This window comes from Homo sapiens, chromosome 6 (genome assembly GCF_000001405.40).
Source record: "Homo sapiens chromosome 6, GRCh38.p14 Primary Assembly".
In the NCBI taxonomy this organism is placed as follows: domain Eukaryota; kingdom Metazoa; phylum Chordata; class Mammalia; order Primates; family Hominidae; genus Homo; species Homo sapiens.
This window is the reverse complement of record NC_000006.12, coordinates 127,183,043-127,210,471: the sequence shown is the minus strand read 5'-3', so window position 1 is coordinate 127,210,471 and position 27,429 is coordinate 127,183,043. Positions and strand designations below refer to the sequence as shown.

At 34.9% G+C, this 27,429-nt stretch overlaps 1 protein-coding gene and 1 long non-coding RNA gene across 9 annotated transcripts in view; one reads left to right on the top strand and one right to left on the bottom strand.

Annotated features, from left to right (window-relative positions):
• Window positions 1-27,429, top strand: part of LOC105377989 (uncharacterized) — a 347,578-nt gene that overhangs the window by 2,373 nt on the left and 317,776 nt on the right. The gene's annotated exons all lie outside the window — the stretch shown is intronic.
• Window positions 10,991-27,429, bottom strand: part of RSPO3 (R-spondin 3) — an 80,811-nt gene continuing 64,372 nt past the window's right edge. Inside the window, exon 5 of one of the 2 annotated variants that reach the window (NM_032784.5) lies at window positions 10,991-14,649. In NM_032784.5, coding sequence (NP_116173.2) covers window positions 14,465-14,649 — 185 coding nt within the window. In that variant the 3' untranslated portion in view covers window positions 10,991-14,464. Of the gene's footprint in view, window positions 14,650-17,760; window positions 17,829-27,429 lie in introns of those variants that run through there. The other variant, XM_017011378.1, reaches the window with a different exon arrangement.

Sequence of the window (27,429 nt, the reverse complement as noted above, 5' to 3'; positions counted from 1 at the left end):
CTATTACTTTAAAAACTCTAAAAAGCAAACAAACTAAACCACAACAGAAAAATGGGATTAGTAAGGCAGAGAGCATGATACCTGAGAGGGGTTGTGATCCCATGTGTCCTGTAGTTTTCTCTGATGGTAAAGGCCGGTATTCTAGCTTCTTATCAATAGTTTAACATTATTTTTAGAATTTTATCAGATACCAACACACAACTTTGGTGCAGTCTTCAAAATCCACAATTGTTTCTCAGGGCAAGCCCTGTTATTTAGGCAAAAAGGAAATATGTTTTGAAAATAAATTTTTTTAAATGAGCAGTTTTGGAGGGGTGCTGAAACATAATTGATTTTTTTCAGAAGTATTTACAATACATGTAAGATAATTGCTTTATTTTCTGGCCTTATATAATAAATTTTATGATTTAGAATCTAACTTGAAAGCAAGCATTTCTCTTTTATTGGCTTAGGAGAAGTTGTGAAGATGTGTGATTTTTTTACAGATCATCTGAGTTTCTATAGGACAGAAAACTAGAATTCTATATTTAGTATTGGATCCATACTGTAACCATTACATTAGGTTTCTATTTTTAAGGATTAAATAGTAAGTTAATGGAAACAATATAGCCCTATTTTTGCTTAATATGCTAAGCACAAGATGCTTTATATGAGCAACTGAATACATTAATAAAAAAATCTCATTTTTAATTGAATAGCTGAAATGATGCCAATATGTGAAAGAATTATAAACTGTTACAAAAATAACTGGTTGCATTAAACAGGATTGCATATAGTAGACTGCTGCTGCATGTGTTTGAAAAAGGAAATGCAAATATGGAAATAAATATATGTATTTAATTAAATAAAATATAATTAACAGGTTTAAATTTTTTAAGGGAAATTTTGCTACTAGGCAGTGACGTCAACCTGAGCTATTTTTTTTTCTTGTCAGTGATTTATATTCATGATTCAAATATTGGCTGACAATTTGATCAAGGGGGAGATAAGGCATCCTTAAATTGATATTAATAATATTATCAGACTTGATATTTTACAGCATTTTACATTTTAAAAAGATTCTGACATCTATTTTTATTTTATTTGTAATTTATTTAAAAAATAATGTACAAAAAGTAGAAAGTAATATAGTATACACGAGTTTGGGGCACAGAGTTGAATAGCCAATATTGCCTAAAAGTTGAGAAATTTGACTTAGGTGTTAAGGAGGGCAGCAACCAAGATTGATTTTACATGAAAAAAAAAATCAGTTAAGATGAAGTAGCATTACCAAATGCATTTATATAGAAAAGGATACAGAGAAATAAAGGTGAAGGCAAAAATATCTTACTGAAAATTATGAAGTGATATGGGAAGTCAAGAGAGAAAGTTGGGAAGATGTATTGGGGAAAACAAGTTTGAATGGAAATTCTGTTAAAATTGACATTTATCCCTCACGCTTAATATTTATAGTGGAATTTTAGTTTTATCACAGGTGTGGATAGTTCTACTCTTTGTTAAATTAGAACATTTACTCTTTTTTCTCCTTTGCCTCAGTAGGTTAATGGCTGTAGTCTAATTTCTTCATAAAGCAGACCCAAATAAAACATATGTTGACTCTCTGTAGGCTGTACCTTGAGTTTCCTTCTTACCCACAGATAGAAGCCTTCTCTATTGAGTTGTCTACATTCTGCATCTTCAATTCCCTACCTCTCATTCTTTCTTGGCTCACTGAGACCTGGATTCTGTCCTCAGAACTTTGTTAAAATAAGTTCTAAAAGAACACCATATTGGCAAGTCCTGGGGACACCTGCCAGTCTTCAGATTGATTGATTTTGTTGCAATATTTGATATAATCGTGCCCCATAATGTTTCTATAATGTTGCTTTCTTTATTCTTGACCTGTTTACCTCTGAGTCCATCTTTCTCAGTTCCCTTCATAACTCCCTGTTTCTCTACTCACTCTTTAAATATTGCTAATTGTATTCAATCTTTTTTCTTCTCTTTCACTGAATTCTCCTTAGGCTCACTCACATATGCCCTGTGATTTATTTATTAGATAATTACTTCTAAATCAATATCTCTACCTTTCATACAGTTTAGCCCAGGGACAGACCTATAATATTCCAGACTCCTAGGAGATTATCTCAATTGAATATCTGTCACACACCTCAATCTCAACAAAGCAAATAAACAATCCCACTCTCAGCTGTGGGTGATTCTCTGATTAATGACACTGCTTACCGAGTGAGACATGGGACTCACTTTGCTCCCCTGCTTCTTGCTATTGGTTACATGTTTCATGGCTTCTACCTTCAAATGATCTCTGGTGTCTATTCCCTCCTCTCCTTCATCTTTTTCTGCATTAATTCAGGTTCTTTTTATTTTGAAGTTGACTATACAATTTTATACTCCTATACTTAAAACTGTTACTCATCCGAGTGTTCTTCATTCTTAAAAATCCATCTTTTCATTGTCACCAAAGGCAACTTTTAAGACAAATAGAATTATTTCATTGCTCCTCATAAAAACCTTAACAGACTCATCACTGTTTTCAAGATAAAGTATAGACTCTTTCCCATAACATATAAGGCCATTTATCATCTGTTTCCTGTTCACACTTCCCAAATCTCTTGCCAGAGAACACAGAAACTACTTGTAATTCCCCAAACTGCATATTCTCATTTATGCCAGGCTTTTCTCATGGCCTGTGATACCCAACCCGACATTCATTTCCTATTTTGTTTCACTGCCAAAGAAGTACTCATGATTGAGGAATTAGCTCACGTTACTAAACACTCATCCTCTCCTGCTCCTGCATCCAAGCCTGAGTTAGGGGCTCATTCCTCTTGACCTCCGCACCAGGAGGCACAGACTTAGGTAAAATACCCTCATAGCATTTGGGTATCTTATGTGTTTCTCCTAGTAGGAAGATTCAAAGACAAGAATTTTATTTTGTGGATTTGTATTATCTGTATCAAGCATGTTGCCTGGTGAACAGTAGATATACTGTAAATACCTATTGATTAAATTAAATATTATAGAAAGATTGATTATTGAAGGAAATATATGTGTATGTATGTGTGTTTACATGATTGTATTTATATATATTTATATATAACAGAAATATCGATATTTCTGTTTCAGAGTGACTTGGAAATTCTATTTTAAGCAAAGCACATACATTTTAATTAGTAGCAATTTACTGGGAACCCAGTACATACTTGGCATGCCACATAGTTTCCTTTAATCTTCACAACTCTATACAGTCTGTAAAAATATTATATTTATTTTATATATGAATATATGGAGAATCAAATAAATTACTTTTCCAAGAGTGCACGGTCAATAATAAAGAGATTTAAATGCAAGTCTTTCTATCTGCAAAGCCTAAAATAGACAGAACTTTTAAAATTTTTATTTGTTGAATTATTGTTTGTTGAAAGAGAGGAAATGACTAATAATGGAAGCCAAAGATGATTCTTTTAAATTTATTACAACTTGTGGCTTGGGTAAATTTGATCTTACTTTCAGCCTTTGCAATATCTGATGAAAGAGGGTCTGGAATTTAGAATATCCTTTATGTAGCCTGCCTGCAACTGGCATTTTGGCTAATCAAAATAAGAAAAAAAGGAATGTTTAGTAAAATGCCTGTTATTTTCAAAAGGAAAATTTTTTAAAAGGAAAACTGAATTCCTCATTTTGCTGGTATAGTTTAGGCCATGTGAGAAACACAATAAATATGTGCCATCAGGAGCAGCCTGTGAGCAGATGAAACTATCTCAGACATAGCTCAGCAGTTTTCCTCTGCCAGACATTACTTCCTATGGAAAGAGAGACAAGTATACTTTTAAAAAACACTTATATGAGATTAAATATCCTTACATATTTATTTGACTAAATGGAAGGCATTTACTGTTCCCCTGATAGTTAACAAGTTTATTTCATTTTATAAAAATAAAGATTTATACATTGGGAACAAGAAATAATTTAGGGTATATACATTTCAAATAATTTATTTTGTCATTATTAGTAGTAGTTATTGTAAATTAGGTATAATGGTTTTTAGGAGGTATTATAATTTACTCATAAGTTACATATATTTCTTTTCTTTTTTTTTTTTTTGAGACAGAGTTTTGCTCTTGTCTCCCAGGCTGGAGTGCAATGGCATAATCTCGACTCACTTCAACCTCCACCTCCTGGGTTCAAGTGATTCTCCTGCCTCAGCCTCCCAATTAGCTGGGCCTACAGGTGCCTGCCACCATGCTCAGCTAATTTTTTGTATTTTTAGTAGAGTTGGGGTTTCACCGTGTTGGCCAGGCTGGTCTGGAACTCCTGTACTCGGGTGATCGATCCACCCACCTCGGCCTCCCAAAGTGCTGGGATTACAGGCGTGAGCCATGGCGCCTGGCTGTAAGTTACATATATTTCTAATGAGTTTTTTTTTTTTCTTGGCATTGGAATACAATGCTTTCTATGTCACCTACAAAAAATCTTACCAGAGCATTACACAAAATAAGAGAAGTAATTCCTAGGGCAATTATCTACATAATAATATTATAGTAAAATTTACTAGGAGCAACTCAAGCATTTGATGTAATTATTTTGTACAGGTAGAGAGCTGGACCAGTTGCTGTTTGCCGATGATAAATGTTAATTGAATGGGATAACTACACATAAGTCGGATGCTGATAGGAAGTGCATGAAACATGGTCTCTGCCATTGCAATGAGAAACAATGGTTGAATGTCATAATCATTATAATATACTCTTACAATGGAAGTATTGTGTTTTTCTGGTACATTATATTGGAGAAATTGGTTTCCCAAGACAGAAAGAAGATTTTTATGTAACAGGACAGTAATAATTAGACCTAAATATAAACCATTTTCATATCTAAATTAACTGCTTGGTGACTGAGTGCTAGTTTCAAACAGTAGAAAACAAGGGAATTAAAATATAACTAAGAAGATAAGCCCAACTTGCAAAAAGCCATTATGGACAGACAGTATTCCATTCTTTGGATTTTAAAGTAAAATCAGTAAGTCTTTGATTTGTTTTTGGTTAATAATGGAAAGCATTTTCCAAACTAAAAGAAAATGAAATTAATACTTTATTAATGGTGCTAAGAAAAGCTAGCACTCCCTCTCACCCCACTCCTAGCAAAGCTTTGCCTCCAGATGTTATTTTGTATTTATTTTGCAATGTTTATTATGGCAGTCCAAGATGTTTATGTCTTAAAGATACATTGGTCAGTTTATTTACAGAGAGACAGCTTCTTGAAGTGAAGGCAGTTTACTTTGGGTGTGGGTTAAGCTACATAGCACTAGAGAGAATGGGTGTGACTGGTTTCCTCTTGTGTGTTCTCTTATTATTTCTTTCGTTTCTTTTCATTACAAGCGCTTCTCTCTCTCTTTTTTTAATCCTGTAAGGTTTTATATGATTTGTCCTGTGAGAAATAGTTGAGTTTTTCTGAGCAGTTACCCTGTACAGGAAATGAAAGAAACACAAGGCAGAATGGATGACAGGGCCTTGACACCTTTGCTTACCACCTTTGCCTCCTGTCAAAGGTGACACTGGAATAGCTGGAGACCTTCTCAAGGCACTCAGGATAGAGAGCAGTCTGTAGTATTTGACAGAATCACTGATATTTCTCAGGCAAGGCTTAGGATTGACTAACGGGAGAGAAGGGAGGCAGTAGGTGCTTGTGTTTGTGCAGTAGGACTGGACCAAGGATTTTGAAAGATTCTGTCGTTCCTTTTTTTAATGTATTGCAAACTAACACAGAATTAAATTGTAAAACCAGTATAAGAAAGTTCAACCAAGTTCTCACTTTTCTCATTATGACTATTTCAATGCCATTTCAGTAATATTGAATAACATTTATTTGAAACATTGCTTTGTAATATAAAAACAACATTTTTAAAGTTGTTTTTTCTTACTTCTGCTTTGTTGAGTTCATCAGAGTGTACTAACACTCTGATGGGAAATCCAATTTGTGGAAGTGCAAGGACATGACAAAAGAGAAGCTGGCAATGTGATATTTGGTGAAGGCTGGAGAAGGGCTGAGACATGTTTTGGTTAGGACTGGTGTGGCGTCTTCATACCCATAATGTAGTATTTTGCAGGAAGAGTGAAGCTTCATCTTGCAAATTAGAATATATAGGGAATTCCACTTTTAATTATTTTCCTCCACTTTAGCATTATTTTTCTTTCCATGCTTTAAGGAGTGATTTGGGCATAGATTTGTTTTCTGAAGTATTCTCAATACACTTTTAACTTAATATTTAAGTCTTGTATGTTTCAAGTGATACAAGGGAAAAGCAGGACCATCTGCTGCTTTTTCTTTGTGGATCTGAAATAATCTTACACCTCTTAAAGAGACATTTTGTAAACACTGCCTGTGGCTAGCCCTTATAACTGGCTACTTCAGTTAAAATGATTCTCAAAGGTATAGTTTATTTTATTTAATTTTAGTCATTTGAAAATAATGACTAAATACTGCTTGAGTGGCAGATCAAGACATTAATTTTGCTGGCCAGTTCAGTAGTTCAGTTATGATCATTGTTACAGATAAAAGAGTTTTCCTTCAAATTGATAATTAAATCACCCAATCTCGGTGAAGCTATACTTAGATAACTATCTGTATTTTCACATTTTCTGGATCTTTTTTGGTATCAAAACATACAAAGTTGCATAACTATAAAAGCACTAATATGTTTTATATCATTTTTACAGAATGGAAAACATCAATATTTATTGTGGATGCCAGGCTTGGTATATCAATTATTACAAAATCATACAAGGCTTTTAACCTCCATCTAGAAACCTGATAGAAAATTTTAGGAGAATGTTATGTCACCTATACATATGAAAATTGTCTAATCTGATAGCTCTACTGGTACAGCAAAGCACTGTTGCTAATTTCCTAATGGCAGAATCTATAGGTTGATTGATTATTTATTTAAAAGATACTTTATTAATGGATGGAAAGGGCATCTGCTGACTATTTTCATGTTTCATGTTTTATATTCCTGTCCCAAAGTGACTACATTAAACCTGAAACAAGTGATTTTTTTACACAGTCATTTCTCTTTATGCTTATTAATTTCTAATTATTCTTTGCTTGTCAATATAGTGTTAATTTATCCATTATCTAATTGACTGGTTTCTTTTGGGGGTGAAAGGGGTGGAGGCAAGGAAACTGATATAGGCCCTGAATTTCAAATTGCTTAGGCTTGCAAGGATGTTTATGGCCAAACAATCTATTTTGACAATTGTGGAAAGGATAATTCTCATAATAAATTTGAGAATTCTAGAGATACTAGAACAGCACATTCTAATGGTCTCTTCTGTTCTAGAAATAATACCATTTTGGATTTAATTGGATCATCTGGATATTCAAATAAAACTCTATTCTCTTGACCCTTTCACATGTACATATTAAGCTATCCTTTAAATATTCCATAGTTAACAAGTGGAATTGTTGGTTTACCACAATAATTCATTTCCCCCCCTAAAATTCCAACATTAAAAGGAGACTGGCAATCAAGAAAGCTAGAACTTATTTGCATGAAACTGACTCACTTTCCTAAATTGACTCTGCATGTCTATGTCTTTTTTGGAATCATAAATTATTCTCACTGCTGGTTTGGATAAAACTAAAATCTATTTTCCTGTAGCATTTGGTGTGTTCATAAAGTGAGTCATAATCATTTTTTTTTTACTATGGGAAAAAGATCAGTAAGGGTGAACTTAGTGATAAATAGGACCTTCTTCCAAATAGTTGCCACATGAGGAAAATCCCTTGTATGTGAAACACAAAGTGTTTCTATTTTTGTTTTCTAGTTTATTTTTATTAAACTTCTTTTAAGAAGTATAAATGGGGCCGGGCGCAGTGGCTCACGCCTGTAATCCCAGCACTTTGGGAGGCCGAGGCGGGCGGATCACGAGGTTAGGAGGTCGAGACCATGCTGACTAACATGGTGAAACCCTGTCTCTACTAAAAATACAAAAAATTAGCCGGGCGTAGTGGTGGGCGCCTGTAGTCCCAGCTACTCGGGAGGCTGAGGCAGGAGAATGGGATGACCCCGGGAGGCGGAGCTTGCAGTGAGCCGTGATTGCTCCACTGCACTCCAGCCTGGGCGACGGACCGAGACTCCTTCTCAAAAAAAAAAAAAAAGAAGTATAAATAATATTCTTTCCATAGCTCTATACTTCGAGGAATTTATTAAATTATGTCTTCTCCAGTTTATTCCTAGGTTAATTTTTAAATCATTAGGTAGGGTTTTTTTTCCTTCCCAAACTAGTCAATCAAAAACCATAAATAAGCAAAGTGTAGAACAGAAGTAGGGAAGGAAGTCAAAAGGATGGACGGACTGCTGCCAGGGACAGCACAGTGCCCCAGGGCATGGCACTCGTTTTTGGCATGTCATTCTGGTGGAGGGGCAGTACATGTCACTGAGTAGTTATAAGGATGAAAATAAGGGTTCCTTTCTTTTTGGGATCAGAATTCTTTTTACTTTTTTTCAAATCTTGAGATCATCATAGCCAGATAGTTGACGGAGTTGTCACCAAATTTTCTACCTCTTGGGAGATTGGGACCAACCTGGAATGTGCGTGTTCTGGGGAGACCGTATGTGGTAGCGTTAACTGACTCAGAAATGTCTCCAGTTCAAGATTCCACATTTAGTGGTAGTTTATTTTATTGTATTTGGGTATCACACAATGTACAAAGTAAAGTTGCACCTCTAGTTCCATGTTTGATATAGCTCCATTGCCAGCAGCTACAGAAAAAAAACAATGCAGATATACTAGAAGGAAGTGAAGTATATCCTTACTCCCTTCTAGTAAGGAAGGGCTACATTGTTGCATTCTCAAATATGTGGTCTCATCACGTACTTCTATTGACTCCTTTTGGGGAAGAATATAGGTAATTCTTAGACTGAAATCTCCAGTGTGGGCGGCAGTGTGAGCAATGGGGAAAGGAATGTCAAACTGTTGCTGTAGCTAGGGACTGGCTAGCAACAGTAATAGCTTATATATTTATTGTGCTTTATAATTTCAAAGCACTTAAAATACATTTGATTGTTTTATTTATAAAGGTAGACTCCTCTTTAAAATGTTTAAGAAGTTGTTAAATTTGTTGAAGAAAATCTAGATCTTGCTTGAAATTCATTTGTGATAGAAATTCGGAGCAGCTAAAATAGTAACTGATGCTAATAGTACAAAAGTGAATACTTCCATTAAACCTGTTAGGCAGAACACTTTGGTAAAGTTATTATTTAACCTTGTTTAAAAACTTTTCTTATATGTATCTGCCAGTTTTCTTTTTTAAAATAAAACTTAATCCTTTGTAGGTGATTCAGTATGTTGGATTGCCTCCACATCATATTGAACAACAATTTTCACTGCACACAGCTATAGATATAGAAGTAACTGTAACAGTTTGCAAACTGTTTATATGTCAGATTATTTTGTGGTCATGTAATTATGTCTTTTGAAATTATTATGTAGCCAATTTTCCAATTAATGAAATATTTCCACTTGTTGGAGTTGTGTTACCACTGTATTTTAAGGACTATGAATAAAAATGATTGCTATTTTGCTTTCTTGCTTCCCCCCTCCCTCCGTCTCTCCTATGTTTCTTCCTCCCTTTCTTTCTTTCTTCCTTCATTTTTTGTACCTGTGTATGTGATGGATATGTTAGCCTCAAAATTACTTGAGAGCCAGTATGGGCAAGAAAAGGTGTGTGACAATTAAAATCCTGATATTGAATGTCTGAAAGTAGCTGGAAGAAAATGAAGTATCCTCTGAAGAAAGTTGTTTTGGTAGTTCCAACAGTGAAGAAAATCTGTTGATGTTTCTTCCTGGATCATTGCAATTCTGAACAAGGACTCAGGGGAAAGATGATCATGCTGGCAAATACCCTGCTTATACCAGAAAAGAACTGAATTGAGGGCTAATCCACAGACATAAAGGGCTATAACAATCGAGGGCTTCCCAAGGAGCCAGACTTACTGTTCTCTTTCTGAACTTTGGTCCTTTACTGATAGCACGTATTTCCCATTTCTCCTTTTTATTCCTCTTGCCTACCAATGCACTTGCCTCCCCCAATCCACTGTTCCCCACAAACCCCACATCCAGCCAGCCCATAGGCTTCCTGCAGCTCTGTGTCTCACCGCCTCACCCTACCCCGCCGCGCCACACACACACACACAGTCACATTTCGAGTTCAGATTCAGAGTTAAGTCTTATCCTGGGTTGAGGCCTCTAGAACTTGACGTCTCAGGCTTCTTAATGGGGGATAATAGTTTTAGATCATGAAGAAATACCTCACTATTATATGTCATGGGCAATCTTGGAACTAATAATAAATATGACTTTAGAAGTTATGATGAAGGAGAAGGAAAGTGGGCTTTGGAGTCAGCCAGAGCTGGGTGTCACTTCCAAACTCACATGTTGCTAGTTGTATGACTTTAGACACTTCTCTGTGCCTCAGTTTCCTCTTTTGTAAAACAAGGACATCAATGACTCACAGGGCTTTTGGGATAATTACATAATATAGTATAGTCAAAGGGTTAAGTGGCTAGCATAAAGGAGGTACAGCCATTTGTTTTGTTTTGCTTTTCTTTTTCTAAGAACATTTGAAATAAAGTTACAATAATCTACTATGTTAGTAAGATGAAATGTTATTGCTTAAATTTGGAAAAATTTCAATTGATTTGATCATGATCCTTGTTTAATTTTATTTTTTCAGTGGTGGATGAATTCCAGACAAATTATCTTTGCGTTACAAGAAGTTACACCCTGTTTGTAACAGATCAACCACAAAACAGGCCTTTTCCCCATAATTTGACCAGAAATAGTTGCAGTTGTATTGAGAAAGAATCTAGTTGGTTCCTCTGCTATGAAAATATATCCATGGAAAATATATACTGTCTGTATTTATGCCCATTTATAAAAAATGTACTTTAAGTAGTTTCCTAATTTTAAGAAGACTCAAGACAAAATTACAATTTAATTACTAGTTAATATTATTAATTTCATTTCCATGATTCTCACATATATACTTATTCCTTGAAATTATCATGCATGTACATTTTTATGAATACTATCACATATCATGAATCAAGAAATAAAATTTATATGTTTGACTTGTGGAATTAGTCATAACTTTTAATTGATATTCATTTATATACAAAATATTTATTATTATATTGAATGAAGAACCTTTTAATTCTCATAACAATCTTGCAAAAGAGATGATGCCAATTCCATTTTGCAGATTTGGGATGATATTCTGCGAGATCATACAATGTGCCCAAGGTCACACAAGCTGCAACCAGTTAGTAGCAGAATTGAGACATTAACACAAGCTGTCTAACGCTAGCACCAGTGCACTTTCCATTTTCTTTGCTGTCTCCCTTTGTGAGAATGAATATCTATTCTTGTTTTTAGCTGTATTTATATATGCTTTTTCTTCCCAGTGTTATTTCAATATTTAATAACCACTAATGTGAACAGCTTTTAATTCAATAACATTAGAGAAGCAGAGTTAAATCTGTCTCCTCTGAGAGCCTATACATTTTCACTTTTGAGAAAAGCAGGGTTGGGATAACTTCCAAAGGACGCAGTCACTAATGAGGACTCAGGGACATCACCCTGAAGTAAACAAAGTGTGAAATGTTCCCTTGTCTGGAACTAGAGTGATCATCTCCAGTTCCCCTCTTTCTTGTTGCACATGAGAAATGGGGACCCAGAGGAGTTAAGTGACTCACTAGTGGTTACACAACTGCTACTAGAACCTAAATCTGAGGATAGAAAACAGGCCTTCCCTTAATTATGAAGCTGAATTCGGAGAACAGGGCAGGAGCTTGATCAGACATTAACAGATTTATGTTGCTGCACTCTCTCGATTCTTCGAATCAATAATTTACCGACCATCTGTTGATGGGGTAAACTATCAACAGTTTACCCCATTATGGAGACAGAATCAGAGTAGAAAGTTAACACCTTCTGTGACTAGTGTAGGAACTTTACCAGAGGTTGATAGAGTTTTTGCTCAAATTTGAGAAGGCTGCTGGTTTGAATACTGTATGATTCTATTGTCTTAAGGATCTGTTACTGGTGGATGGAGAATTACAGTTAAAATTGATGTTATCTTTTTCTTCATTTATATTTCATCCAACATATGAAAATGAATGTTAGTTTTTATTTCTTTTTCCTTTGTAATAATTCTACTTTTATATAAGTTTAGCATCAAGGATTCAGACCTTCTGCCATTGTCAGAAGGACCATAGGGTAATAAGTTTGAGTCAAACACATGGGAAGACCTGATAGTCATTTGCCACCATTGTCATGTCCTGGTTTACTTAACCCTTTTTCCAGCATTGCCTATGCAGGTGTAGACCTTCCCAGTAAGTGCTTGTTGAATAAATGAAGACATGAGAAACAGAAAGATGTGCAAAAATAATTTGGCTACTTATACTTGACTGGGTAACACTCAGAAGAAAGATGGTATATGAAATCATCCGAAAGGTCTCAAACCTGGGGACATATTTCTACCTAACATCATTCTGTAGGATAAAGTTTGTTTCTTCTTGGTAATATATGTTTTAGCTGAAAATGGAATTAGAATTATTTTATACATTGGGAATAGATTTAGTGAGTTGAGACACTTATCTCATAGGGACAAGGAAAGAAACACCAGAATAAGAAACAGGAATAAATCATTTAAAATGTTTATATCTTAGAAGAGGAAGAGAGAAGTGGAAAATCAATTAAGCCAAGTAGATTACATGAACTGTACAACTGGTGGAGAACGGGTGTCCAGAGATAAGCAGCCAGAAGCCAGAGTCATTGCAAATTCTTCAGAAAGCAGTGATCTTGAGAGGGCTAGGAATCACAGTGGACAGAGCAGCCGTGCATCCTTCCATGACAACAGGAAGGTTAAGGTGGGTCATGCGATTCTGTGCTGCACACTCAGAGATACCTCCTCCTGCAAGGGGTGGGCTGTGTCCTCTGTGAAACACTGGTGAGGCCTTCAGCTAGGGTGACTTCAATCCCCTAAAGAGATCCACAGATAGAAAATATGGAGAAGAAAAGACTAAATGTTGAAGATGCAGGGGGATCTGACATACAAGAAATGATGCCCATTTCTAAGCAATGAAGGGGGAGCAGTGAAATCAGCTAGGGAGGCCCATGTGTCTATAATTAGAATGTTGATTAAAATAAGAAAATGGAATAAATATCTCCTAATACGCTATAAGTAAATCTCCATTGGCTCAGATAAAGGTGGATTCAAAAAACAAATATTACTGAGAAATGTAATATATTCTGAATTACATAGGAACCAGGTTCTCTGAGTTAGCAGAATTCTCTTTCTTAATTCATGAGTCTCTAAGAGTAAGAATTTCTCAATAAAACAAACAATAAAACAGAGTGAACAAAACTTGAAAAACTATTAACAAATATATTTATTGTGGTGGCTTTCTCCCCTACTAGATATACCTTGTTAGAAAATAGTATCCCTTTTAGTTCCAGGTGGACCATTAAGCAGGTAATAAAATTGTTTTTCCCTCATTGAGAAAGAAAACACATGACTTTGCAAACATGTTATATTCTCCTTGCTCTATTTTTTTTCTATAAAATCAGAATTTTCTTCTAATAAGTATGATTTTGTTTTTGGAAGTAAGTTACAGGCACATGTTTACAGGTTGATATATAATCCAAGGGGTAACAGAGGCTGAGCCACATAGTGCTAACATAGATTGGAGACCTGTTCCAGGTGACCACAATCCTTCACAGTTTTGTAAAGCACAAAAGTAGTCTCCAGCTCTATGATTTCTTCCACATTTGTCTTTCTCCAATCCCATATGGTATATTCAATTCTGGTATGCACTCTTGTGTTTCTTATAAAAATACAGGATGAGAGTGATGGAACTAATCTTAAAACAGTTGTTTCTGTGATGATAAATCCTGTGATTCCAAATGCCAGGCCCTAATTCTGAGCACTCTCTAGATCTCCCGGTCAAAACAACACTGTCCTTTGAAGGATGTTTCTCTTCCCTGAACTCCTATTTGTTTTGAAGGGATACTGTATCTTTGAATTTGCAGAACTATCTTTTGCTTCTTAAAACAACAGCTTGAAAACACATTTTTATAAGGAAAAGATGTTTCTTCTCCAGATGTCATCATTTCGTTGTTACATCTTATAGCCTATTGATAATATGTACAAGAATGTCTTGTCTTTTAAAAATGCAGAGAAGCACACAAGACAACCATCTGAAAGTATCCCTTCTTTGATCTTTTGGCTCTTTGTTGTTAACTATGCTTGTATGAAGAATATAGCAACTACTGGGAATGTTGTTTAGACAGAGCAATAACTGACATGTCCATTTGTGGTCCTAATGGCTAGAGCACCTGTCCTGGGCATCTGGTTGAGATAGCAGCATCATGAGTCTACAATAATCTCATGGAACCCTCTAGTGTACAGTGCTGACTGATACCGATTTCTGTTTATCTTGGACTTTTCGCTTCTTCTGCTGCTGTTTGTTTTCTCGTTGCTCTGGGATTTCTTTGCTGGATTCCAGACTTTTGCTGTCAGGTATTGCTTCTTTACTTTCTCCTTTATTAGGTTTTTTTCTTTTCCTCTCCCTTCCTTTTTTTCCTGAAATGAAAGGATACTCTTTTAAAAATTACATTCAATTATGTTCTATTTTTTAATTACATTTTAAAAAATGACTTAAATTTCTCTTAGATTATATATCATAATGATAGATACTAAATATCTACTATTTCAATCATTCAACTATTATTAAGTCTGTGGTATATTCCAAACAATGTAAATGTGAAACACGTATATGATATAATAAGGCAACTAACATATGACTGTTTGAAATCCAAATAGTTCTGTTCTTCTAAGTTTGGAACTTATTTTACATGATAGTTATTTATGCATGTTTCATGGAAAGTTTTAGATAGATTTCTTGCTGTTGAAAACATTTATTAAAATGTATATTTTGGCTGGGCCTGGTGGCTTACGCCTGTAATCCCAGCTCTGTGGGAGACTGAGGTGGGAGGACTGCTTGAGCCCAAGAGTTCAAGATCAGCTTGGGCAACATAGTGAGACCTTATCGCTATAAAAAATAAAAAAAATCAATGAGGCATGGTGATGCATGCCTGTGTCCCAGCTATGCAGAAGGCTGAGGTAGGAGGATCACTTGAGCCTGGGAAGTCAAGGCTGCAGTGAGCCCTGATAGCGCCACTGTACTCTCCAGCCTGAGCAAGAGAGGGAGATTCTATCTCCAAAAAAAAAGGAGAGATTTTTATCTGGCTCATATTTTTAAGGTACCATGTTGTATTCAATTTTTTTCGAAGTAGCAGTTACATAGTTATAATTTGTCAAGATATTTGCCTGCTATCTAAGAGAAAAGAACTGATTTGCATAACAAATGCAGAAATAATAAGGATGAATAACAAGATAATTGTATTTTAACATAAATATTTGTATGTTGAAATTAATTTTGATTATAATTTCTCTACATGCAGGGTGGTGATGACTATAACTGATCAATAACCCTCTGGTACAAGCTACCAGGGCAGGTTGAGTCTCTATCCAGCAAATGAGTAGATATTTATCACATGTATACTGGATTTCATGCAGGCCCCCGACCTGGAGCTGGGTTTGAAGCATAGATTTAACTCAGACTCACATTATGAGAGGAGACATTTTTAAAAGTGGAATCAACATGACTTTAAAGGTTTGGATGTGAAAAGGTATTATTGTAGCCAACAGGGAGCCACTTGAAGAACTGAATTTTATTCTGTCGGCATTGGAGAAATGCTGGGAGTTTTAGAAGAAGAGAATAATTTGATCGAAGTAGATAAACCTGGCACCAAATTGGATGATTATTTTTATTTATTTCTAAACAGTGAATTAACTAGATGTTTTATTATCATGTACACCTTTTATATATGTAGTCTACAGTGTAGTCTGAAGGCATGGTTTTAGTAACATCCATGAACACATATATCCCAATGAGAAATTACCTAGATTCAAATCAATATTACAGTAAACAAAAACTAGGAACCAACTGTTTCCTGAGGTATGACAAATTCTGAATGTGTATCCCACATACTGGGTCATTTAAAATTTGAAATTAGACTGTCTAAAATAAGTAACTTTTGACAAAAATATTTTGGAGAAATTGTCTGCATGAGAGAACCAAAATATTTTCATGTCCTGAAGTAGGCTGCAAATATTGAATTCAGTGGTTTGGCTTTCCTTTTCTTGGGCTCTGGTTACAGAATCCTAGGGAGTGGTATTATTAATATTGCATAGGTATACTACGCCAATACGGTCTCCTTGGATTAATGATTTTATGCCACATCTAGCTTTGTCATGAGACTGTATTTATAAAACCTTCCAGTTACTTTTTGAAAGCTTTCCTTGTTGGGCTCAGCACAACATACCTTCAAATTCTGGAATCTAAAGGGACAATTGACAAAAATCAGAATTCATTCAAGGGTGAAGCAAATTGTTTTGGACATACAGAGAGGAACAAACAACATTAGAGGCAACTATTATGCCTAAACTGAACTACTTATATTCTGATTACTCGATTCCATTATTCTTTTCACTTAAAAGAATTTTGCTGGGTTGATAAGATTTCTACAGAAGGGATCAGGGCCTTCTTTCCATGCTGGATTTAATGAGTACACATTTGATGTGCTGACTTGAATATAATAACCAAACAGGGAAAACTGAAGAGTAAGTTTCCCTTTCTGAATATGTAGCATAATTTAAATTTTATAAAACTGTACAAACAGAGAAAAATACTAGTTTTCATGCTATGTGCTTAGTTTTCACAAGGAGATGGCTGCAAAGGTTGGATTACATAATATTTCCATATTGAGGAGCATTTTGGAGGTGTTTGAGTTCAACTCGAAAAAATTGTCAGCAAAAACCATTCCAAAGTTCCATAAAAACTACTGACCCCAAGCAAAATGTTATTTTTATGGAAATCATCCAGAAGTTCAGTGTTTGACATTGTTCTCTTGATGACGGTCCAACATCTTACAGCTGTGATCCCAACCATAATGTTTTGGACACATAAGAAATGTATTGTTTCTTCCTTGGTCACAGATTGATTTATATGTTTTTTAGCCACTTGTGACAACATCCTCAACTGGCAGTGCATTTCTGCTTATTAGCAAACTGATATGATTATTTCTTAAGACAGGCCTAAACATTTTTGGAAGTAGATTGAAACTCGGTATTATAACTTTATGTCCAAGGAATAACTAGTCTGGGCAGTGAGTGAAAGGGAAGGCTCTAGTAAAGTAACAGGAAACTAACACATTGTACATTATTGCTGCTCAACAGAGGGCTATTGCACAACAGAAGAATGAGGTTGTTATTTTTTTACAGGCCATGTGTTAGTGGTTGGAAATGCTAACTACCCTTTGCATAAATATATTTTCTGCTTGTGTAAGAAATAAAATAGAAATACACAAGAGTGGCTGTAGTCCATTAAAAATCACGTGTAATTTGGGATAATTTTGTAAGGTTTTCATTAAAGGGGACTTCCTTTTTTATTCTGGTGACTTTTCATTGATGTGGTTAATATTTTTTTCAGGCTTTTTTGGCAATTTTGCAAACTAAGCATTCCAGTTATGACAATCTGACATATATACACACACATATATATATACACACACACGTGTGCTTTGCCATTCACTGAATATTCATGTTTGTGTGCATGTGTACACGCACGTACCTGCCTGAACTGGGTTTTGGAACATTCTAGTGATTAAAACAGCGTTCATCTCCCCTTGATGTTCTACCTATGAGGGTGTTTGGGTAGAAAACATCAAAGAGAATTTGCTATTAGCAGTCAAGTACAATCTGAGCCCTTGCAGAGAAGCACTATGGTGTAACATTTAAGTACACTGTCCTTAGGGCCAGAAAAATGCTGTTTTCAAATTCTAGGTCTGCCACCAACTAGTTGTGTGAACTCTGGCAAGTTGTTGATATTTCTCAGGATTAACTCTCTGATATATTTAAAATGTGAATAATCCTTACTTCTTGCTAAACTTCATAAGGATTAAATGAGATGCTGGTAGAGCATTTAGCATGGTGACTGGCATATGTTACTCATGGGACAAATGAAAACTAATATTATTAACCCCTTGCACAAACATGAACAAAGCCCCTACTCTGTGCCAAAAATGTGTGATAAAACCTGGGGATATAAGTTAGATATGGAGACTGCCAATAATTATAGTCACATGTTAATGCTAAAATAGAGGTGTGTACAAGGTCCTGTTGGGGGTACAGTGGGAAAGCATTGAACTCCATGAAGAGAGACTGAAAATGATTTCAGAGACTGAAAATAATTCCCCTGATGTAATGATGTTTGAGGTGAGCCTAAAAGAATGACTGAGAGTTTGCTAGGCTGATGAGGGAAGAAGTGCATGCCAGGCAGTGAACATGCACTAAGGCATGCAAGGACATGGTGAATCTGGGGCATTGAAAGTCAACTTCCTTGGTTTGATCAGAGTCTATATATAGAATATTACCCATAGAAGCTGGAAAGATATACGGGCTTCAATTGCCATGTTGGGAGTTTGTCCTGAGGACCAGTGTACTGAAAACTAGAGAAGGGCAAGTATTGAATTCAGATAGCAGGCCAGAGTTTGGATGTTTCTGTGATGAGTTTAGAAAAGGCCAATAGGCTATTCTTACATGTTGACCTTATTTCCTATTTCAGAAAATTGCTGTAAGTAATAAGATGCTGTAGAGGGAATGTAGTCAGTGGTTGGTATTTTTGAGCCTTAATTTTTGAAAGAGTAGCTAAAATCTCCATGTAGACCAAAAAGCCATATTTAAGATTTTGTTGCATAGTAGTATCACATAATTGAATTGATAATTGTTATTTTTAAGATTCTGAAATTATTTTCTGTTAGTATAAACACATACAGTCTTTTACATAAACATTTCCTATGGCCTTCTGCAGACAATGTTCCAAAACATATAAAAATACAGATTCCTAGATCCCACCCTTGGAGATTATGATTCAGTGGTTCTTATGAGGGGCCCAAGAACCTGTAGTCAACAACAAGTTCACACCCCTCCCCCCCAGTTTATTTTGATGTGCAACCACATTTAAAAGCCAAAGCTGCAGAGCAACAGAAGACCCAATTTCTTCAAATATATACTCTCAAAACTTACTTCAAATTGCATGGTTGCTCCTTTGTTTCTTTCATTTTTCCTAATGAATATCAAATACGTTTTTGACTTACTGTAGCTACTAATTTTAAGGCAAGTTTTCTTAATAGATAAATTTGGAATAGGCACCCAGATATAAATTAAATTAATTGCAGGTTATCTTTTTAAAACCTGTTCAAGTGCATATATGAACTAGAAAAAATAAACATGTAAAAAATGACAAAGAGAGTGATCCTGAATTATTCTTCCTAACTTGTATATATTTAAATTCCAAGTGAAAATGCAAACCATAGAACACGTTCAATATCCTTTAAACATAATGAGGTTATGAAAAAAAGAGTTGCTTTCCCTAGAATCACAACTGTAATTCACTTATTGAGAACCACTTAAATTATGAATAGCAGCTATTTTCTTGATGTTTGGATAAAATCTGTCTATAGGTCTTCATAAAAGCTGCTGCTTTGTGAATTTCTTGCGAAGTGTCACTAAGGGGAGCCATTGAGCTGTAAGTAGTTCACTTCCCAAGACAAACTAGGTTATAATTTTTACCCAAATGCTAAAAATGTATTCCACATTACAGACTGAGGACTAAATATCACGAATTATATGACTCAAACCAATTAAATAAGTATTACATTTTTCTTTTCTTTTTATTTGGTGTGGAATGAAATTCAACTGGAAGCCCATGGCTTTATGCCTTCTATAAAGCACTCACAGTGTGAAAAAGGGGTTGATCTTATTATTTTTGAATCTGGAATTGGACCTGATTATTATGTATAGAGAATGAAAATTCCAGCTTTTGTTCTTTTTTCTTTTTTGTTTTTTGTTTTTGAGACGGAGTTTTGCTCTTTTTGCCCATGCTGTACTGCAATGGCGCAGTCCTGGCTCACTGCAACCTCTGCCTCCCAGGTTCAAGTGATTCTCCTGCCTCAGCCTCCCGAGTAGCTGGAAGTACAGGTGCGTGCCACCGTGCCTGGCTAATTTTGTATTTTTAGTAGAGATGGGGTTTGGTTTTACCATGTCGGTCAGGCTGGTCTTGAACTCCTGATATCAGGTGATTTGCTTGCCTTGGCCTCCCAAAGTGCTGGGATTACAGGTGTGAGCCACTGTGCCCGGCCTGTTATTTTAAATTAAAATATCACTGGGAAAATTTGCAAGGAAGAGGAATTGCTATAGTATGACTTTTTTCTTTTGTGGGGGCAATTATAATGTATTGTGTAGATACATATTTACAGGCCTATATTATTATCAAGTAAATTGAGAAATGTCTTTTGTTTGTTTTAATAAAATAGAAAACTTCTTCTTGCTCTAAATTTAACCTAGGAATTTACAACAAATATAGTAAAAATATCAAAGAATGAATGTCTTTTGCTTTTTGATAAATAAGCACACAATTTCTCCACACTGAAATTTAAAGCTACCTGATTTACCTATGCGGTAGGTTACACACGAATTCTATTGCCTTTTCTATTTAATTTTCAAGATGCTTCTGATTAATTATTCAAAGAAAAATAATTTGATACATCATTACATACTCTACTAAATGCTATTAATTTGGGATATTACTTTGAGCCCACTTTTACAAAGATAGCTCTGACCATTAAAATATACTGAGATTGAAATAACATTTTATCATCAATTTCAAAGGACCAGTTTAAGAGAGGCACTCTATTTGTATCATGCTGTTTTGGGAATTTAGAAACAAGAACATAATGATTGGAAGGCACTGAGTATAAACTTTAGGAAATGAAAGCAGATAAACCCAAGCTTCTTAACATGGCCCTCAGGGTCCTTGTCCACTGTGATATGACCCCTGCTTACTTATCTACTTTGCTGGCCTCACACTTGTCTTTTTAGTCACCCCTGCACTTGTCCCACCATAATGTTTACTGATCCCATATATTGGATACATTTATCTAGAATGCAGTTTCTAGATCCCTTGCCCTAACTCAGACTTACTGTTGAATTATCTGGCCTTCAGGGAAACCTTCCTCACTCTCCTAACCTCTTCCTAGGCTGGACTATTTACATTTCTCCTCTCTGTGTTCTCAGCTCCCAATTAGGACCCTGCTGCAGATCAAGGTGAAGATGACCTGGATAGTTTGTTTTTAAAAATAGTAAGAATAATTATAACTACAATTCAACACACACTTTTATTAGGTTGGTGCAAAATAATTGTGGTTTGTGCCATTACTTTTAATATGTACCAGGCCAACTTCTAAGTAAGAGTACGGTGCCTAGAAGCTCTATTCAACCCCTGTTCTACAGATGAGGATAAGGAGGGTTCCTAACCACAGCACCCTTCTGCCTCCACATTATTTCTCAATAGAGCACAATGTGACATGCCATCCTTGTTTATGTCACTTCAGCTACTGAGGCAAGGAAAGAGCCCAGCTGTGGACTAACTGTTTAAAAGAGAGGAGTTTTATAAAAATCAAGATTTGGAGTGTACTTTCTTAATCTCTTGAAATTTGAATTTGCTGGGCAAGGAAAAGCTGCTTATCAGAAATTAACTCAGAACTTAATAGCATTTGGAATAAACTTTTTGAGTCAGCACCATTCAGCACTATCTCATTCTCTATTCTCTTTCTTTTTATTTTTGCTACAAGCCTATATTTTAGTATTTCCACTCCCCCAACATATAGAGGTATGATATATATATATATATATGTAACTTGAAAATTATACATCATTTATATCTAATTTAGAAATAATTTTCCATTAGACTACTACTGTTACATTTTTGAAGCTTTAATGAAATTATCACATATTTTCATATTTTGTTATACTTAATACTAAAAAAGAGAAAGAAAAATTATATAGCTTTAAAATTTTAAAATGCTACTTGAGGTTTGAATGCAGTCCTATTATAAATCATTTCACCTTATAGCAGACATCATAAATATCAGTAATCACAACTTTTTAGAATGTGTATTTTCATAGTCTGCTTTAAGCATAATAAACTCTCTTTTGCCTAATTAAATACCTTCCTTACAAATGGACCATTGCCAATAGGCCTTTACAAATTTTTTTCTCTGTTGTTTAAATAATTTTATTATCCACTAAAGACTCAGAATCTGAAATTTTGAATGTTGGCTCAATGTCGTGACAGAGGTTTCCATAACCCTTTCATTCAAGCTAACTCCATTCCACCTCATTGCTTCTGCTGCCTGGAACCCCAGCCTGGAATCCTTGCTTCCATTTAAAAGGGCCATTAGCTGGAGTCCAAAAGAAACTATTAAAGGCACTGGGTATTGCATACTAGGATGCCTTCCTGTTCTATGTTAAAAGAACAGTTAAAAGTGATCAGGGGAGAAAGTACCCAAAGATTTTTAAAAATATTGGCAATGTTTACGAATTTTACTCATTATAAAAGTAAAGGATATTCTGTATTTTATTGTATAATATTTTAAAAGCTAGCAGGGTATTATAATTTATATTAAATATTTTAGATTTTGCATTCTTTTGTATGGGTTTATTTCTCTTGTATCAACTGCTTTTTGGTTAAAAGTTCATTTACAATAAGTAATTTTTTCTTCAGAGCAGAAGTTGTTATCTTGACTTTGAAATCCTATCTATCACCTTAGGATAGATCATAAAACTCTTGGAAAGTAAATCAGATACATTGACTTACATGTAGACAATTTCTTGATCTAAGCATGTTTGCATAACACATTTTGAATTAGATCTTGGGTTTTAAATAATTGTATCTATTAAATAAGCATATAAATTTATTCTCATTCTTACTTGTTATCAAAGGGTATGTTGGCAAATTTCATCTATTAAGCACCGTCAAATATTATTCATTACTTTTGCCGTGAAATTCATGACTAGCTTGTTGGATGAATATTATTGTTCCCTTAAAAAAATGACCCTGAATAGGATACTTTGGTTGTTTTATATAATGTTTATGAGCTTATAATATGGGAATTTTATTACCTATCTTCAGAAATTTAGTCAGTGGGGCGTCCTAACACTAATATTTCAAAGACCATTAAAGCCTGCCTAACAACATTGTCGTGTTCTATCCCAAATTTTCAATTTGGACCTAGTCCTCTCAAAATATTAGTGACTATCTCAAAAACGAATTGATGTGTTCATCTTTTTTTTGTAACACTCGTACTCTACCCTGTCCCCATCTCACCACCATGCCCGCTGGCGCCCCCTGCTGCTTCAACCACCATCTTCCATCTCAAGCTGGAGAATATGCGTGAGTCTATGGAACTTATTAAATATTTATTTCATATTACCCTTTAAAAAGTTCTCTCAGCAATTTAAATATTTAAAAAAGTGGAACAGCCTCTTTGAAAAATTTCTGTTATACACACATTGCCAGACTGAAAGTACATAAATAGTATTACCTAGAAGTCTTCCTATAAAATTATTTTAAATCAGAATACACAATTATAATTCAGACCATCTATCCAGTGATTCCTTTAAGACATCTGGAAAAATTATTTCTTTAGTACTTGACTATCATTAATTTTTAAACAACTTTTCACATTATTTGCGATAAATTAGTTTGCCTAACGTGCCAATTTAAAATTTAAATGTAACAATGTTATTTAATATATCTATAATCAATGACTAAGTTTAAAGTACTGCCTATGGTACAGATTGCTTTAAAAATATGAATTTTCAAAATAATTTTTTCCCAGTAAATTTTTATTTTCTTGCTGTAGATCTTTTTGAGTTGACTCTCATGTTTCCCCAGCCCCAATAACACATATTCCAGTAACACAGTAAAGAACACTTAAATGTGTTGACTTATCTAATTCATTTGCTTCAGAAAATCAGGAACCACAGCTGTATTATCCATCTTTCATTCTCAAAATTAATGGTTTCTATTTCTATTTTCTCTTTACATATTCCTCTCATGACTGAGCATAGTGAAAGTTAGCTTTTATGTAGAGTTTAAAATAAAACTTGTATTTGAATTTTCCCTATTTTTCTTTAGTTAAATGTGTAGGCCCACAGCTCATTCATTTGTGCTTAAAATACATGTTCTGGAATCAGTATATGATAAATATTCACCAAATGCCTTTTATTTTTTCTAAGAATCACTAAGGCAAGATCACTGTCTTCATCTTTGATGGAATATAACTTTCCAATTAACAGAAAAGTCCTTCATTTCAAAAGGCTGAGCAGAATGCTACTTGAAAATTTATTCCAGCTGGTTAAATTAAAGAATTGAACGAATTCCAAAGAAAGAATATTCTCTGGGCATTTATCATTTGATTTTTATTTGGATAAATTTCCATTTGTTCTAAGAGCTTGTCTTAGAATTTTGTTCTTTTGAGACAGAAACAGAAGAAGTGTTGATAGCCACATTTGGCACTGCTATACTCATTCCCTTACCCAAATTGTCTACTGGGTTGTATGGACAGGAGCGGATGGCCTCATACTTGCTGACATGTTTGCTGTGATTGATTATACAAGAAATCTTGATAGTATTCTACTCTTTCATCATGTTATGCACTAGTTGACTGTGCTGTCTAATTCTCATTCTAACACAGCCCACTATGTCTTTCTCTGAAGCTTTTTATTGGTCTATGGGGGAAAAATGTACCTTTAATCTGGAATTGCATCATGTGGGGAAAAATGACTACCCAGTTTCTTATTTGTGCTGCTCCACGTATCATGTGTCTCACTCCATGCAATTTTAGCTACAGATAATATAAATGTTTATAGTGATGGTTTAATGTTTTCAGCTCTTTATTAGCTACATATGTAAAGATGATTTTCATGCATCTTCAAATACGTTCTTAAATGGTTTCACTATGCTTCAGGATCTTACTCATTCTTCTTTTGTTGCAGATTTTGCTTCAAACTACTGGTTTCTTAACTAGTTTGAAAAACATAGAAAACCCCACTCAACCTCTACTACATTAAAATTTGTGATAAACTTTACCCATAATATATGATAAGGGGAGTATTTCACCTATAGCAGGTAATGCAGATTGTTCTAGGTACTTTTTCTCCCATTCTATTTGTTGAAGCAATTGTCTGTTCTTAATCAGAAATACTTTCAACATCCATTTCCACAATCATCAAGATAGGTCCTTGTAATTACTTCATCAATAATGGTTACATATAGGACTTGGAGGGGAATACAACTGATTTAATCATCTTTAAAATTTGTTTGGAGGTTAAGTGTTAACTAATCTAGAAATATCCACCCTGTAATTTAGCAAGATTAGTAAGATTTTACTGTACCTATTTTACAGCTTTTCACTGTGCTTTCTCTATCATTATTGATGAGGGTAGGTTTGGAAGTATAGACCTGGGGAACAAATGTGTATGTATGTTTGTGTGTGTATATATTTTTTATATATAAATGTATATGCACATATTTATTTATAGGTCCCTTTCCACCACTGATGGAAAAGTTCTATTTTTGGGGTGAATTTTAAGTATCAATTCCAAGACAGCCGGTTTTCCAGTGTAATTTTTAATGATTCTGAAGAGAGTGTCATCCTTTCACAAGAGCTCTTTAGAAATTTGAATCTTTAAATTTAGTGATTTCTGTAACTTATATGACTTTTAACTTTTTCTTATCAACCATATTTTCCATGTAGCATATTAAGACTTGTACCCTATCTACTTTTTCTCTTCACAAACTTTCAGAATGTCCTGAGGAAAATAGAATATGGCTTTCTAATAAGCATCTGATTAATGCAGAAGAAATCAAATAATTACTTTCATTCTTTGGATAGTCAACCTCCTATGCATAGACTTTCCCTCCCAACATTAACGTTATCATTAGTAGATTTCACTCCTCTTCCTTTGCTACTAACTAGTGTGTTTCCTTCTATTGTTTGATTGGGTCCCTATGTGCAACCCAGTATATCATCTACTAATTTTAATTCATATTTCTAGGCCTTTTTGCAATTTGTCAAGGTGATATTGAATTTTGTTTCCAGTTTTCATAATATTAGGAAGAACAATTAATGTAGTAACAACTACAAATATAAAGAACTTACTCTTTATAGAAATTCAACCTTAATTTTTATTTACCTATCAAAGTATTGAAAAGGAAATGCAATTCACAGGACTGATTATTTTGGAGTAGGGTGGTTATATGGTTTGCCTGCTTCCCTACCCAAATCTTACCTTGAATTATAGTTCCTATAATCCCCATGTGTGGTGGGATGGACCCAGTGGGAGGTAATTGAATTCCAGGGGTGGTTACCCTCATGCTGTTCTCGTAATAGTGAGTGAGTTCTCATGAGATTTGATGGTTTTATAAGGGGCTTTTCCCCCTTTTTCTTGGCACTTCTCTTCCTTCCGCCATATGAAGGATGCATTTGCTTCCCTTTCCATCATGATTGTAAGTTTCTTGAGGCCATGCTGAACTGTGAGTCAATTAAACCTGTTTCCTTTATAAATTACCCAGTCTCGGTTATGTCTTTATTAATAGTGTGAGAATGCACTAATACAGGTGGGGTGGATAGTATTGGGAGATTCTAGCAGTGATTCCCTGATTTACTTGCATAATTTTGTGCACAAGGGGAGACATGTAAGGCCGATATTCCTGGTATATTAGTAAGCACTGCTACTATTGCTCTAAAGGCTGTGGTAGCTCCTTTCTCTTTGGCAAGAGCCTGAGAACTGTAGTGAGTCTATAAATATTCGTTGAATGAATTAAATGAAAAAGATAAATATTGTTCCCTTTTCTTGATTTCATGGCTGTGACTTAATTCGAGTTAGAGTTGGAGAAGGACAGGCATAGACAGAGATGCTTTGGTGTTACTCTCTCATATGCGGGCATGCTGTGATTACCCAGTGTCCCAAACAACCTGTCTTAATAAGTCCCACTTATTATAGAGTACTCAGCCAGTTAGCTACTTCTGTTCCAATATCAGCTTCAAGAGATTACAGTGAACTCCAGAGAGCTATATCATGTTTTCAGGAATATCATTTTGACTTGTCATGCTTGGTCCTTTGGGACCAAGTCAATGATGAATAACTAGAGTATCCCTAAAGCTGTTTCAAGAAATGGCATTAGGAAGTCCAGGTTGGAACAGAGAAGTTAGAAAGAATTCCATTCTCTTGTTTCCAGAAGGCATTTGAGTTCTAGGACAGTTTTAGTGATTTGAAGACTTCAGAGTTTCCCTGAGGTTGGGAGTGTGGATCAGAGTCCATCTCTCAGCCCAAAGCTGGAAAACAGTGGTCTACCAAAAAGTTTTTGCGATTGTTTGGAGAAAAAGAGGTGGT